Raw genomic sequence first — 14,195 nt, forward strand, 5'->3', positions numbered from 1 at the left:
CTCCTCCAGAAAGCCTTCATTAACTCCTTCATTCTTGTTAGGTAGTCCCACTCTGTGCTCCCATAACTCTACAGATCTCAATCATTGCCTTCACTGCAATATATCATAATCTGTTCATAGTCTCTCCTCCTCAGTAGGGCATCAAGTCCATAAGGACAAAATCAGCATCTCACTCATCTTTGAATCCCAGCATCCAGCCCAATGATTGTGATAAAACTGGAGAACAACTAAATGATTTTTAAAGCAATGTACCTATAACTTTCTAGCTTCTGTGGGTTTAAATTTCATTGTTTTCTCATCTCATGCTTTTTATTTAGCTCCTTTCGTCTAGAGAGAGCCCCAGTCCCTAGGGCAAATTTCTGCCATGAGTCATAGGATACATTAGCTGAATGAGTTCCTACTCTCTGCTTCTGACCCTTCAAGCTATAGAAAATTGAAATTTGTTTGAAAGTTGGAAAACAGAGACACTGCTCATCAAATTAGCAATTTAATATTCTTCTGCACATAAAGACATCAAACAATTTATCTTTCAAGTTAAAAGACAGCATATATTTCTATGAATTGAGCCACTAAGAACAAAGAGAAGGAGGAGGAGAACAAGAAGGAGGAGAAAGATGAAGAAGGGGGAGAAAGATAAAGAAGAAGAGGAGGAGGAGAGAAAGAAGGAGGAACACAATAAATTAAAGTACAATAAAAAAAAGAAGAGGAAGAGGGAAAGAAGAGGAGGACGGACTGGGGAGGAGAAGCAAGAGAGGGAGGGAGAGGAAGAGTGAGAGGGACAGAGGAAGGAGGAGGCAAAGAAACATGCTTGATAACACATGGAATGCAAAAGTGCTAGTTATAATGCCAGGTACTTGAATAGCCTGACCAATATTGTTTCAACCTGTTCAGGTAAAATCCTTTGGATAGTTTTGTTCAGTTTACAATATTTAAAAGTGTGTGCTTAAATTTACAAAAATAAAACAGATAAGTATATATATATATACCAAAGATATATACAGAAGAAAGTTATTTATGAGGTTAAAACCATAGATGTACGTTAATAGATATATTTAAAAATTTTAACGGAACATAAATATTATGTTTTTCTATAAGGAAGAGAAAGAACACAGGGGGTTTATGAAACTGGAGGCACAACTGGAACTCAGATAATAAAAGAGACAACTAACAAAAGCATACTTCTTTAAACATCTAAGGATTTTAAAATCAGGAATGTTTAATAAAAGACTTAGTGTGTTTGTGGGCATGGATACATTTCAAAAAAGATCATGCAAAAACCACTTGACCGCCAATAAAAATCTTTAAAATAAGATGTACCACAATTAGTGTACATGAACAATTAGTAATTCATGCAGCTGTAGGATACACAGAAAGCTAAACATACTTACCTAATGGTACGCTATCTAGATCTGTGTAAATAACAGCAAAAAGGAAACAAAAAGCAATACTCCAATCAAAACAGATCCAATGTTAAAAACTCCCACATAAAACAAGATTATGTACCATTTACATGTAGAATAGATGCCATAGCAAACACTTATAAGTTTATTTTTAAGGCAGTGAGATACGCAGAGTAAAGTAATGAAACTTGGTTACTATTTTAAGTAATTTAGATAACCAATACGAAAACTTGATTGGTCTTCTTTGCCCATAAAAACTAATTGCTCAATAAGGTTAAGTAAGCCATTTTAAGTTGGTAACCATTTCTTGGAATGACAATAATTACCTCGCCAAAATGTACACATGCAAATTAAAGAAAGAATAATTATTAAAAGCATGAGTAAATATAGCATCTATTCAGTCAAGCCATAGGGGAAAGGGATATACTATACCATGTTCAAAAAGCAAAGCTACCATGCAAATTCATTCAACTAAAATTGAGAGCAAATTACCTTGTAAAGCATGGCCTAGTAAAGCATCTAGCTCAGGATTTAATTCTGCCTTCTCTTTCAACATATGGAATAAGAGCTGGTTTTGGGTAGCACTGGTTATTTCTGTTTGTTTGAGTCGACCTTCCAGTACTTTAATTTGAGCCTCTTTCTGGGCAGCCTGAAGACCCTGAAACACAACAAAAAATTATCTTAGGTCATACGAAACAGGATCTACCACACAAAGATCTGTATCAAACAGCAAATGAATATGATATATGGGTTTTGACATCAGATAGACCTCGAGTCATCCCAGCTCCTCCAGTAACTGGCTTAGTGATCATGTACAAGTTCACCTGTCCAAGATGTTATCTTCTGGATTCTCAGTTTCCTCATATGCAAAATGAGATCAATAATAATTACCTCTTAGCACATTGTGAAAATTAAGTGAGATGGCATAAGAACAGAAAGAATCTAACAGTCCCAACATGGAAAAAAAAAAAGTGAGTCAGAAACCATTATCACCTTCAACATTTGGGCACGGTTTTCTTACAGGTGACAAATTAGAGCATTTACATTCAAAATAAGAGAATGATTAAATTATTTTTTCTTTTCTGATTTGCTTTTGATCTGTAAAGAATCAATGTTAAATTAGTTATGATACCAAATTTGTTTGCATGCTGAGAAATTTCTTCTAATTTTTCCTTTGTTAAAGCAAAAGGGGAATTATTTCTTCTTTAAGTTGTTTATCTGCTCTAATAAACAAACATAATGGATAACATGCTAATGAAATTGATCTAAATATTTCTTACTCTTCCTGACTCTAAAGAAAGGTAAAAGAAATACTTTCCAATTATGAATAATCTTCTTCCTTATTACAAAGCAAAGGGTTACTACAGAAAGATAAATAAAACTACAATGAATTAGTCAAAACTTAGATTTTCAGTAACAGTGTGGTTGTATCTTACCTTATTGATGCCCATTGACAGGAAGTGATCTAGCAGGTATCGGGCTTCTGTAAGGGTGCAGGCATTAATGACTGCAGTAACATCCAATGTCTCACCTTCTTCCTGTATAAAATCAGCATAATATGATGACCATTACTTTGAGCTGAAAACAGAAGGCAACAGCCTATTGTTTCACATATTTATTTCCTAGTATTGGGTTAGCTAATGAGATGCTCAGATAAGTGCAATATATGATCATTACCCCAAGAAACATAGGGTTTAGTTGAAAAGACACATTTAAGCAGTTAAGAATTCAAGGTGGGATGTAAAGATGACCCATGTGTTATATAAACAACAAATGTTATCACACAATCAGCAGAGAAATCTGAAAAGCAAGCAGGAAGTGGCATACATGTAAAACCTAAGCATTAGATTAGACCAGGAAATAGAAAATACCTTCATGTAAAAACTGAAAGTGCTTTGAACAATAAACAATACAAAAGTACTTTTCATTAAACCATTACGCTTTTTTAAAAATTACAAACCTTTGCTTCTTCCATCTGCATTATGTTGGCCTGACAATCAGAAATACTGTCATTGATGTAATCGATATTAGCAGTCAGTGACTCCATCTCTTCATTGATATTAGCCACATTTTTATCTCCCTCTCCATTCTCCTTGACTATCTTCTCCCTTCTTTTTGAAAGTTTCTCTCGTCTTTTTGTGAGTTCCTCCCGTTGCTATTGAGAAAGCAGGTTGGATTTTAAGAAATTATGTTCACTTATTTATATACAGTACCATCAAACCCCCCCACCCCCCAAAAAAAACTTGGTAAGTGTTAAATTTACCCAGGGAACAAAATTGGAAGAGTAAAATTAACAGTTAGCTAAGGGGGAGCGTATCTACTCTCTATTTTCCACACCTTGAGGAGTCTATTCATATCTGCCTCCATGTTGGAAATGGTCATCTTCTGCATGATGATGTCTGTGACCCTGCGCTCAAGGAGCTGCCACTTCATGCGAGCTGTCTTGGAAATAAACACTCGGCCAGTCAATCCTTTCCTCTGATATTTTTTCCTATAATCATATAAAACAGACAAGCTCAATTACTTATGCACTTATTTGATTGTGCACTGCCAAATAATGAGCCATTTTTTCATTTAAGTACAACATTCAGTATTAACGGCCAAGAAGATTACATCAGCAGGAACAGAATTATGTAGACCTGTTTCCATTTGTTGCCGGCGTTGGTAAGGCCTGGACTCTCGCCACAGGAATTCTCATTTTCTGCTGGGCTCCTGTCCTTGATGCATCTGTTTCGACAGCAGCTGCACTGGAACCTGTGTCCTGAGCAGGTGCATCAGATGAACTCAGCTTCCGAGTAACTTTCCCAGCCACTTTATCTGACATGGGTCTTACTTGCCGACGAAGAGCCGTAACCTGAAATTGCAGCAAAGGTTGACTCATTCTCTTAGTCTATAGAAATACATCATTTATCTCAAAGTCAGAAGGTTTCTTCCAAATGGTCAGCTTGCTTACTGTACCTCTTCAGTTTTGCGACGTAGAACCACTTCTTGGTTTCTTTTTTGGGCTTCCAGAAGTCTAAGTTGATGCTATAAAATAATATTAAATAAGTGGAAATAGTAAAGTGAAAGATACAATATTTCCTATTCCTATATGAATATATTTCCCCATACCCCTGGGAACTATGAGTTCTTAGCAGAATCTTTGAGTCAACAACCTTGTATATATTATTACAGGTACAGCTATTTTATTCCAACAAACACAAATAAATACAGATATACCCCATCCCTTTTTGAAAAAATGAAAGGTTATCTCTGTGTTACATACTTTAATTTGATACATTTGGTGCTTACTATGTGCAAGTACTTTTCTAAATGCTTTACAAATGTTATCTTATTTAATTTTGTTAGATATTTTGTTTTAGTTGCTGTTTGAGGTACAAACAGGAAGAAACAAAGCTTAGAATATTTTCAATAGAGTCATCTTATAATATATACAATAATTATAAACTGTTGTAGACATAGGAGGAATATATATTAATTTGATTAGTACTTATAATAACTATGGATCTTATGGTGGATAAAGTAAATGGACAATAAAATATGTCTGCACTGACTATTAATTTGTTTCTAGGTACTCTCAAAATAAAGATGACTAATTAGGATTACTTCAAGCCATTCTACAGGCATATAATTTAAAAAAAAAAATTGGACTTAAAAAGAACCAGAGGCCAGGAGTGGTTGCTCATGCCTGTAATCCCAGCACTTTGGGAGGTCAAGGTGGGAGAATCACTTCAGGTCAGGAGTTCGAGACCAGCCTGGCCAACATGGCAAAACCCTGTCTCTACTAAAAATACAAAATTAGCCAGGCATGGTGGCACGTGCCTCCAATCTCAGCTACTCGGGAGGCTGAGGTGGGAGAATCGCTTGAACCCAGGAGGCAGAGGCTGCAGTGAGCCAAGACTGTGCCACTGCACACCAGCCTGGAGGACACAGTGAGACTCCATCTCAAAAAAAAAAAAAAAAAAAAGAAAGAAAGAAAGAAAAGAAAACAAAAGAAAAAAGAAAGAACTTAGGTCTTAATTCCAGTTCTATCATTTATTCAATTCTGTGATCTTGGACAAAGTTTAAGAATGACAGTTCACTACAAACTTCCTTTCTAGTACTTAAATTCTGTTATTTAACAAATAATCACTCGTGTTTTGCATTCAAATTCAAACAGATCATTCATTTTATGTTTATGTATATTTCTGTCTCATCAGATGGGAATTCCTTGAGAAAATGACTTTATCTTATCACAGCCATATCTTAATTGCCTACCACAGTGACTGATATAAAAGCAAAATTAATATGTTTTTTAATTAATGAATTATCAGAAATTAAAATTATCATATAGTTTCAAACTTGTTACATTAAATTTCTTCCTATTAAAAACCAAATCTCAAGCTCATTCATATTTTTATATGGTATATAAATGTCACCCTGAACTTTCTAAGGGTTCAAAGATGAATATAACAAGGAACAATTTTAAAAGGAGGTCAATATGTACACAAGGCAACAAATAAAAGGGAGAGGGAGTATGAATGTTAGCTTTATATGTGACTAGCCAGCATTGTGTCTTTATAATAGAATATAGGCATCACATGTTATGGAAAAGATTCAAAAAGTTCATCCCAGGAGTTCAGTATTGGTCTCCCTTATCTTATATGAATTAGTAATAAAGAAATAGGTAGCATACACTGTAAAGAAATTATTCCCGTTGTTCAAAGGTTTTCATTAAATATAAAATAAACAGCCAAAAAATGGAAAGAACCCAAACGTCTATCAACTGATGAATGGACAAACAAAACATATTCTATCTATATAACCATAAAAAAAGAATGAAGTGCTGATACATGTTATAACATGGCTGAACCTTGAAAACATCGTGTTAAATAAAAGAAGCCAGACACAGCTGGGTGCAGTGGCTCACACCTTTGGGAGGCCGAGGCGGGGCGGATCACTTGAGGTCAGGAGTTTGACACCAGCCTGGCCAACATGGTGAAAACCCATCTCTACTAAAAATACAAAAATTAGCCAGGTGTGGTGGTGCATGCCTGTAGTCCCAGCTGCTCAGGAGGCTGAGGCAGGAGAATGGCTTGGACCTGGGAGGCGGAGGTTAGAGTGAGCCAAGATCATGCATTGCACTCCAGCCTGGGCGACAAAGTAAGACTCTGTCTCAAAAAAAAAAAAAAAAAAAAAAATCAAGACACAAAAGGCCACATCTGGTATGATTCAATTTATATGCAATGTCCACAGGGACAAAATGTAGATTAGTGGCTGCCAGGGGCCGGGGCAATGGTGAGTGACTACCAATGGGTATAGCGTATATTCCTGGAGTAATGAAAATTTTCTGTAATTAGATGGTGGTGATCATTGCACACTTTTGTGAATATACTAAAAACATGAATTGTACACTTTAAAAGGTAAATTTTAGGATAAGTTAATTATATCTCAACTTTTAAAACAATAACAAAAAAAGAATAGGCAATATGTTAGAATGTGCTTCTACTTGATTTCAGTAGGAACAAATCGATAAAAACACAATTTTAAATGCCCAGGAATTAACTGTGACAAATACACTGATTATTAAAATACACTGACATTGTAGGAGAAAAAAAGAAATAAACATAACCAAAATAGGGGAGTCATCTGGACAAAATATCCGCTATCCACTTTTCTACCTCACTACCCCCCTTTTCTCTATCCCCTTTCCTCTTTACATTCCAAAATAAATTTCCATTTTCTAAAATATGCTTTATGCTCGTATTTTTCCAGGGAGGATTTAGGAAAAGTTCAGCAAGTAAAAAGGAATAATGGCTGAAACCTAACCAATAATAAGGGAAAAAGTGATGGCCTCTTCTTTTTCAAAGAGGCAGTCTTGCTGTGTTGTTGTTCAGACTAGTCTAGAACTCCTGGGCTCAAAGCAATCCTCCGGCCTCAGTCTCTCAAAGTGCTGGCTGGGATTACAAGCATGAGCCACTGCACCCAGCTTCTTCTTTTAAGAAAAAAAAAATCATAACTATAATTTTTCACCTAAAAGAAATAATCACATTGCCAAAATTTTGGAAAGAAGAAGAAAAATAATCAACCATAACTTATAACCCTAACACAACTACAATTAGCACGTTGAGATGTATCCTTTGAATTTTCCTTCATTGAAATCAAGCATACATTTATTTGTAAAATGACCATGCTTTACACTTAATGCATGGTCATTTTTCAGATAAGTATACAGTTTCAAAATATAAATGGAATGTACCATAATTTCTTTAACCATTCCTCCTACTGTCAGGGATCTTGGTTGTTTTTACTTTTTTCACAATTACAAAGAATCCTACAGTGAAGATTTTGATGCATAGTATTTTTACTTGTTTTACATTATTTTCTTCATCTAAATTCATGGAAGTAGAATCTTGAGTCAAAGGATACAAAAATTTTGATAGTCCTTAGAAAAGCCTCTTCTAATAAGGGCTGGTTGTTAACTCTAGGATTATTTATAAGTACCTCTAGTGATAAAACATTCTTCAGAACCATCCTAAACTTGCTATCTTATATAATACTGCAACTAGTTCCTTGGTCATCCTAGAGATAACCAGTCATTCTTGCCATTTACTTCTATGTCATCATCTGGAAAATAAGCCTCAAATAAAATATATAATATTACAGTGTTTTTTATGAACTCTTATACTGAATTACCATAATCCACATACTGTAATAAATGACATTTTATAAAGTGTATGCTTATCTATTGTCCTTAACCTGCAATTAGTAGTTATGGTTACCAGAAATTTTTCCTCCATTTATTAAACAATCTTTTTCAACGTACAATTTTCTTATATAACTGAGAGTTAAAATCCACTTACATCTCTTTTACGTTGATCCTTTTTCAACTGAGCAATCTCTCTGTTTCTTCTAGACTCAGTCAGTCTGGCTTTCTCTTGTTCTTCTTTCATTTGTTTCATTAGGCGAACCTAACCAATTAGGTATAGACATCTATTGAAATTACTCTGTCACAACATTCATTAAATCAACCACATATATGGAAGTAAGTTCTTAGAATTCTGAATACTTAACATGGAAACATGCAGTTTTGCTGCACGTTTAAAGTGGGCAATTCTTATTTCTGTGGGATTCATATATTTCTATTTCTAATACATTTTTATTAAATTGCTTAGTATTCTATGCTTTTTGTATTCAATATTCAGTTGTTCTGCAACTTGAAATCTTGATACTTAGCTTACTATCAGTAGCTGTGTGACCTTGATCGAATTACTTTACCTCTCTAGGCTTTGGTTTGCTCATCTATAAAATGGAAATAATATTTCCACAGCATTGGATTTTTGTGAGAATTCAACCAGTTAACACCCACACAGCGTTTTAACAGTACCTGGCACTTGAATTCTCAACAACTTGATAAGCACTTAATAATTTTAGCTACTGTTGTTATCAGCAACTACACAACATAATAATCAAATGACAGTTATGTGCCTCATAACATTTAACTCAACAATGAACCACACTTAAGACAGTGGTTTCATAAGATTATAGTGGAGCTAAAAAATTCCTATTGCCTAGTGATGTAATAATGTCATAACATCACATTACAAAGCACTACACCCGTTTGCAGTAGTGCTGGTATAAACAACCCTACTGTGCTGCTAGTCATATTAAGTATAGTCCACACAATTATGTATAGTCCATGATACCTGATAAGGATAATAAATGACTATGCTATTGGTTTATGTATTTACTATACTATACTTTTTATAGATATTTTGGACTTATGAAAAAAAAAGTTAACTATAAAGCAGCCTCAGGCAAGCCCTTGAGAAGATATTTAAGAAGAAGGCATTGTTATCATAGGAGATGACAGCTCCATGTGTGTTAATGCTCCGGAATGCCTTCCAGTGAGACAAGATGGGGAGGTGAAGACGGTGATATTGATGATCCTCACTCTGCATAGGCCTAGGCTATTGTGCATGTTTGTGTTTTAGTTTTAACAAAAAAGTTTAAAAAGTAAAAAATATAAAAACTTAAAATAGATAAAAGCTTACAGAATGATGATATAAAGAAAAAATATTTTTGTACGGCTATACAGTGCATTTGTGTTTTAAACTGTGATATTTCAAAAGAGTCAAAAAGTTTTTTAACTTAAAATATTTATAAAATAAAAAAAATTACAGTAAGCCAAGGTTAATTTATCACTGAGGAGAGTTTTTAAAATAAATTTAGTGTAGCTTAAGTGTGTAGAGTATTGATAAAGTCCACAGCAGTGTATAGCTATGTCCTAGGACTTCACGTTCATTCACCATTCACTCACTGACTCACACAGAGCAACTTACAGTCCTGCAAACTCCCTTCATGGTAAGTCGCATACCTTACAGGCATACCTTGGAGACCTTGCAGGTTTGGTTCCAGAGCACCGCAAAAAGGTGAATATCACATTAAAGCAAGTCACACAAATTTATTTGGTTTCCCAGCGCATATAAAGTTATGTTTATGCTATACAGTAGTCTATTAGGTGTGCAATAGCATCATGTCTAAAAAAATAATGTGCATGCCTTAATCAAAAAACTTAATTGTTAAAAGAAACATGCTGACAGAGACATGAAGTGAGCAAATGCTGTTGGAAAAATAGTGCCAACAGACATCCTCAAGGCAGGGTTGCCACAAACATTCAATTTGTAAAAAATGCAATATCTGCAAAGGGTAATAAAGCAAATCACAGTAAAATCAGGAATGCCTGTAAAAGTATACAAGTTTTGGCTGGGCACAGTGGCTCATGCCTTTAATCCCAGCACTTTGGGAGGTCGAGGTTAGTGGATCAGCTGAGGTCAGGAGTTTGAGACCAGCCTGACCAATATGGTGAAACCCTGTCTCCACTAAAAATACAAAAATTAGCTGGGCATGGTGGTGTGCACCTATAGTCCCAGCTACTGGGGAGGCTGAGAAAGGAGAACTGCTTGAACCTGGGAGGTGGGCAACAGAGCGAGACTCCCTCTCAAAAAAAAAAAAAAAAGTGTACCATTTTTTTATCTTTTTTACTGTATTTTTTACAATACCTTTTCTATGTTTAGATATGTTTAGATACACAAATATTTAGCATTGTGTTAAAATTGCCTAGAGTATTCAGCATAGTAACATGCTGTACAGGTTTGTAGCCTAGGAGCAACAGGCTATACCACATAGCCTAGGTGTGTAGTAGGCTATACCATCGTGGTTTGTATAAGTACACTCCATGATGTTTGCACAATAATGAAATCACCTAAAAATGCATTTCTCAGAATGTACCATCATTAAGCAATGCATGATTATACTTTCTAAATCACTTCCATATTTGCTATTTTATTGTTATTTTAAGAAAACTACACTGACTTTCATGAAAGATGTAAAGAATAATTAATCAAAAACAGATAACAGATCAGGATTTGCACACTCTCTTTGGACAGGGGAAGAAAATTAGTGCTTCTCTAAGTATAGGAATTATAAACACTAAATTTAAGACAGTTATTAGCTATTGGAGAATGGGGAATATGATCAGGAAGAGATAAACAGAAGGCTTACTGTATATCTGTAATGCTTAATATTTTAAACTAGACTGTGGATACAGTGTTTGTTATTATGTATGCTTTCTTGCATATTTGAAATATTTTATACTTTTGTTAAGCTTGCATAAGAGTTTTAAGAGAAGAAATACCTATCAATGTCTAAGAAGCCCTGATGAGCACATGATTTTCAGCTACTCTGAAGAAAGGCTTGGATGAGGAATGACTATTAGAAACAACTTCTAATTGCCAAAGGAAATTACATCATTTGTAAGATTGGGTTACCTTTATCGAATATGGAAAGAACCACAAGAGTTGTTTATTTTTTGTCCCAAATGACAAAATCATACTGAACATCAAACGTTAATGGAAAAAAATAATCAATACCTTTGTTTTTTTCATTTCCATCACATCCTGCTGCAATTTCTTCAATTGCTTTTCATACTGAGACTGATTTTTAAGCAACCTTGCATGTTCTTTTTGAGCTGCTTGAAGTCTCTGCAGTTCTTTGTTCATGGCTTGGAGTTTCTTTTCATATTCAGACCTAACTTTTTTTGCTTTTTCTTCTGAGTAAGATTCTACCGAGCCTAAATGACCAGAGGACATTTTTATATGTTTTTTTGTGAGACACAGATTTTTATTTCACAGATTTACAGTCCATATCCTAAGAGAAGAGCTACTTCCCAAACACCCACATCTCAGAAGACTAGGGTGTCTTTCAATCATTCTCTCTTTTATTATCTACTCTTAACCTGTTTAATGATTATTGAAGCTTATTTATTAATATGTTATGTTAAAATGTCCCCAACATAAATCAAAACATTAAAACAACCATAAATTTGTATAAAGTAAGTAAACAGCCTAGGCAGATATCGGTATGAAAAAACAAAACAAATAACAATATTTAACATTATGAGACAAATTAACATATAATGTGGCCAAAAAGTATTTACAAGCTACATATAACTTTTAAATAAAAGGCACAAACTTTGACTTGCAAAAACAAAACAAATAAATAACAAAAAAGGGTTTAATACGGCTTCTATTTTTTTTCTTCTAAAGGAAAAGATAAAAACCCATTTTGAAGATTTAGCTTGAACTTTCATTTGAATTAAATATAATTCTTACCTAAGTTTTGAAGCACCTGGTCTCTTTCAAGCTGAGTATCCCGAATTTTATGTTGCAGCATCATTAGCTTCTCTTCATACTGCTTTTTCAGAGTCTGCAGTCTTTTCTGGCTGTTTTCTAGTTCATCAATCAGCTTTTGCTTAATTGCAATTTCACAAGTAATGTTTGCCAAGTCTGCTTGATAATTGGCTATTTATAAAAGAAGAAAATAAAAATCCTGGTGCTAGGCCAAAATATCAGAATTCTAGCTTTCAAGCAGACCATAAAAACCATCAACTAGGTATTTTTATTCACTTAGTAGTTATTAGAAAAATTTCCTGGAAAAACCAACAACCAAAAGGTGAATGAGATAAAGAGTGTTCATTTTGGTCAAGGACAATGCTATTTGTATTAGGTAAGAATGGAAATCACACAATGACTAAATCCAGTAAGAGAAGTAACTCATTTGTTTAGCACATAAGCCTTGGAAGGCAAATGTAGGTCAGTGGTCACAGAAGTTTCTTTCATCAAGTATGAAATAGAGAATGTTAAGAGTTTTCTGTCATGGTTTAAACAACTTCCCAAAATGAATTTTTGCCCTTATACCAAAGGGCAAGTACCTTTTTCATCTGATTCAGAATCTGATTCATCAGAACTTTCACCCCCATCAATGTCATCTTCCTCCTCCTCCTCCTCCTCTTCTTCATCCTCATGATCACTCACTTCTTGACTTTCTTCCTAAAATGTGATTTGTAAAAATTAATAGCACAATATTGGCAAAACAAACTGACTCCCTCATTGAGAGAGGCTGCTGGAGTACAAAGTACGGAAACATAAAAAAATTCACTTGTCATCAGTATAAAAATGTTAAGGTTATTACAGAGTAATTTTGTCTTAAATCAAAAAGTATTTCATCTCTCATAGTATTCTACCCCTGACTCCCCAACACAATGCTTTCACAATACATAAGATTGAGAGTTGTCAATATTTTATAGCTTGTATCTCTGAAGAAACATCTTCAAAGAAATAGATTAAACAGAATGCATCATAAGCAGTTCACTTTTCTACAAGTAAGTTAGTAAGTTATCATCAACCAAGAACAACCAAACCTGGTGACTAAAACTGACAAGTTCATTCTTTCATACTTACCACTTCTAATTCATTGTTTTCTCTTTCCGAAACACCCTTTTCTTCTTTCTTCTCTTGGTCAGTGTCTGTATTATCCTCTTTACCAGCCACACTAAAAAAAGGAACATAAGGGTATGGTGTTAAAATAGAAAGGAAAATTATTCACTTTTTCTCCCTCAGATTTTTAGAAGCCATCAATGATTTGTGAAAACAAACTTTAAATGTTGGTCACTTAACTGAGCAAAGCTATTCTATCTGATGCTTCAGAGAAAAATGGAAATTGCCAATCAATCAACAGTGTAATGATTTATATCACTGGAGAAAAGCTTATTTTCAGAAAACACTGAGGAATAGATTATGCCCGAAAGCACGAGACCTCGACACCCCTAAGAACTAGTCACAGTAGCAGCCAATTAACTAGAATGTAAGGCAATTTAAATTGAAAAGAAATCAAACATTTTTGTTTTCTCATCTGAATACAAAAAAACTTCTCTCATATAAATACAAAGATATAAAAAACTACATTTTCACTGATGTCCTAATACATTTAAGAGTAAATTTAAAGTTCCAGTTTAAATCTGCCCACAGTAAGCTTGTCTACACTAGCTATATCCATCAGTATTTTCAGGTCTCCTTCAGGTAGTGGCACAGGCTCTTTTTTCTTAGGCTGCCCGTACAGCACAAGGCTACTTCTCATTATGGTCTCACACAATGTGTCTTTGCATACCAAAAACTGTCTAATGTTCAGGCTGCCCTTTGATTGAATAGAAAATTTCAGGGTCTGCCGCAAGATTCACCTTATAATTGGAAGCTCTCCTCTTAAGTTACCTAGTACCTACAGCCATAACTACACACATACCAGGGAATGATTATAGCTAAATTAATTCAGCCCTGGTGGCCCTGAGGAAAAGAGAGAAGTTTCGTACACCCAAATAACTCGAATCCTTTGTGGGTTTAGCAATCAACTATGCACAGAAATTACACTATTGATCACTAGACTCACATATTTAATTAAGCTAAACAACATTAAGTGAAC

General features: G+C 34.5%; 1 protein-coding gene across 33 annotated transcripts in view; it reads right to left on the reverse strand.

The window, feature by feature from the left end:
- KIF21A (kinesin family member 21A) overlaps positions 1 to 14,195 on the reverse strand; it is a 149,893-nt gene that overhangs the window by 35,626 nt on the left and 100,072 nt on the right. For 14 of the 33 annotated variants that reach the window (XM_017019611.3, XM_047429127.1, XM_017019608.3 and 11 more), the window contains 12 exons: positions 13,181 to 13,271; positions 12,652 to 12,769; positions 12,053 to 12,241; positions 11,312 to 11,511; positions 8,243 to 8,350; positions 4,359 to 4,427; positions 4,040 to 4,254; positions 3,738 to 3,891; positions 3,361 to 3,555; positions 2,837 to 2,938; positions 1,893 to 2,058; positions 1,389 to 1,409 (listed from right to left, as the gene is read on the reverse strand). In XM_017019611.3, the coding sequence (XP_016875100.1) occupies positions 1,389 to 1,409; positions 1,893 to 2,058; positions 2,837 to 2,938; positions 3,361 to 3,555; positions 3,738 to 3,891; positions 4,040 to 4,254; positions 4,359 to 4,427; positions 8,243 to 8,350; positions 11,312 to 11,511; positions 12,053 to 12,241; positions 12,652 to 12,769; positions 13,181 to 13,271 (1,628 nt within the window). The remainder of the gene's footprint in view (positions 1 to 1,388; positions 1,410 to 1,892; positions 2,059 to 2,836; positions 2,939 to 3,360; positions 3,556 to 3,737; positions 3,892 to 4,039; positions 4,255 to 4,358; positions 4,428 to 8,242; positions 8,351 to 11,311; positions 11,512 to 12,052; positions 12,242 to 12,651; positions 12,770 to 13,180; positions 13,272 to 14,195) is intronic. The other 19 variants (XM_047429129.1, XM_017019609.3, NM_001173463.2 and 16 more) reach the window with 3 other exon arrangements.

This window comes from Homo sapiens, chromosome 12 (assembly GCF_000001405.40).
Source record: "Homo sapiens chromosome 12, GRCh38.p14 Primary Assembly".
In the NCBI taxonomy this organism is placed as follows: domain Eukaryota; kingdom Metazoa; phylum Chordata; class Mammalia; order Primates; family Hominidae; genus Homo; species Homo sapiens.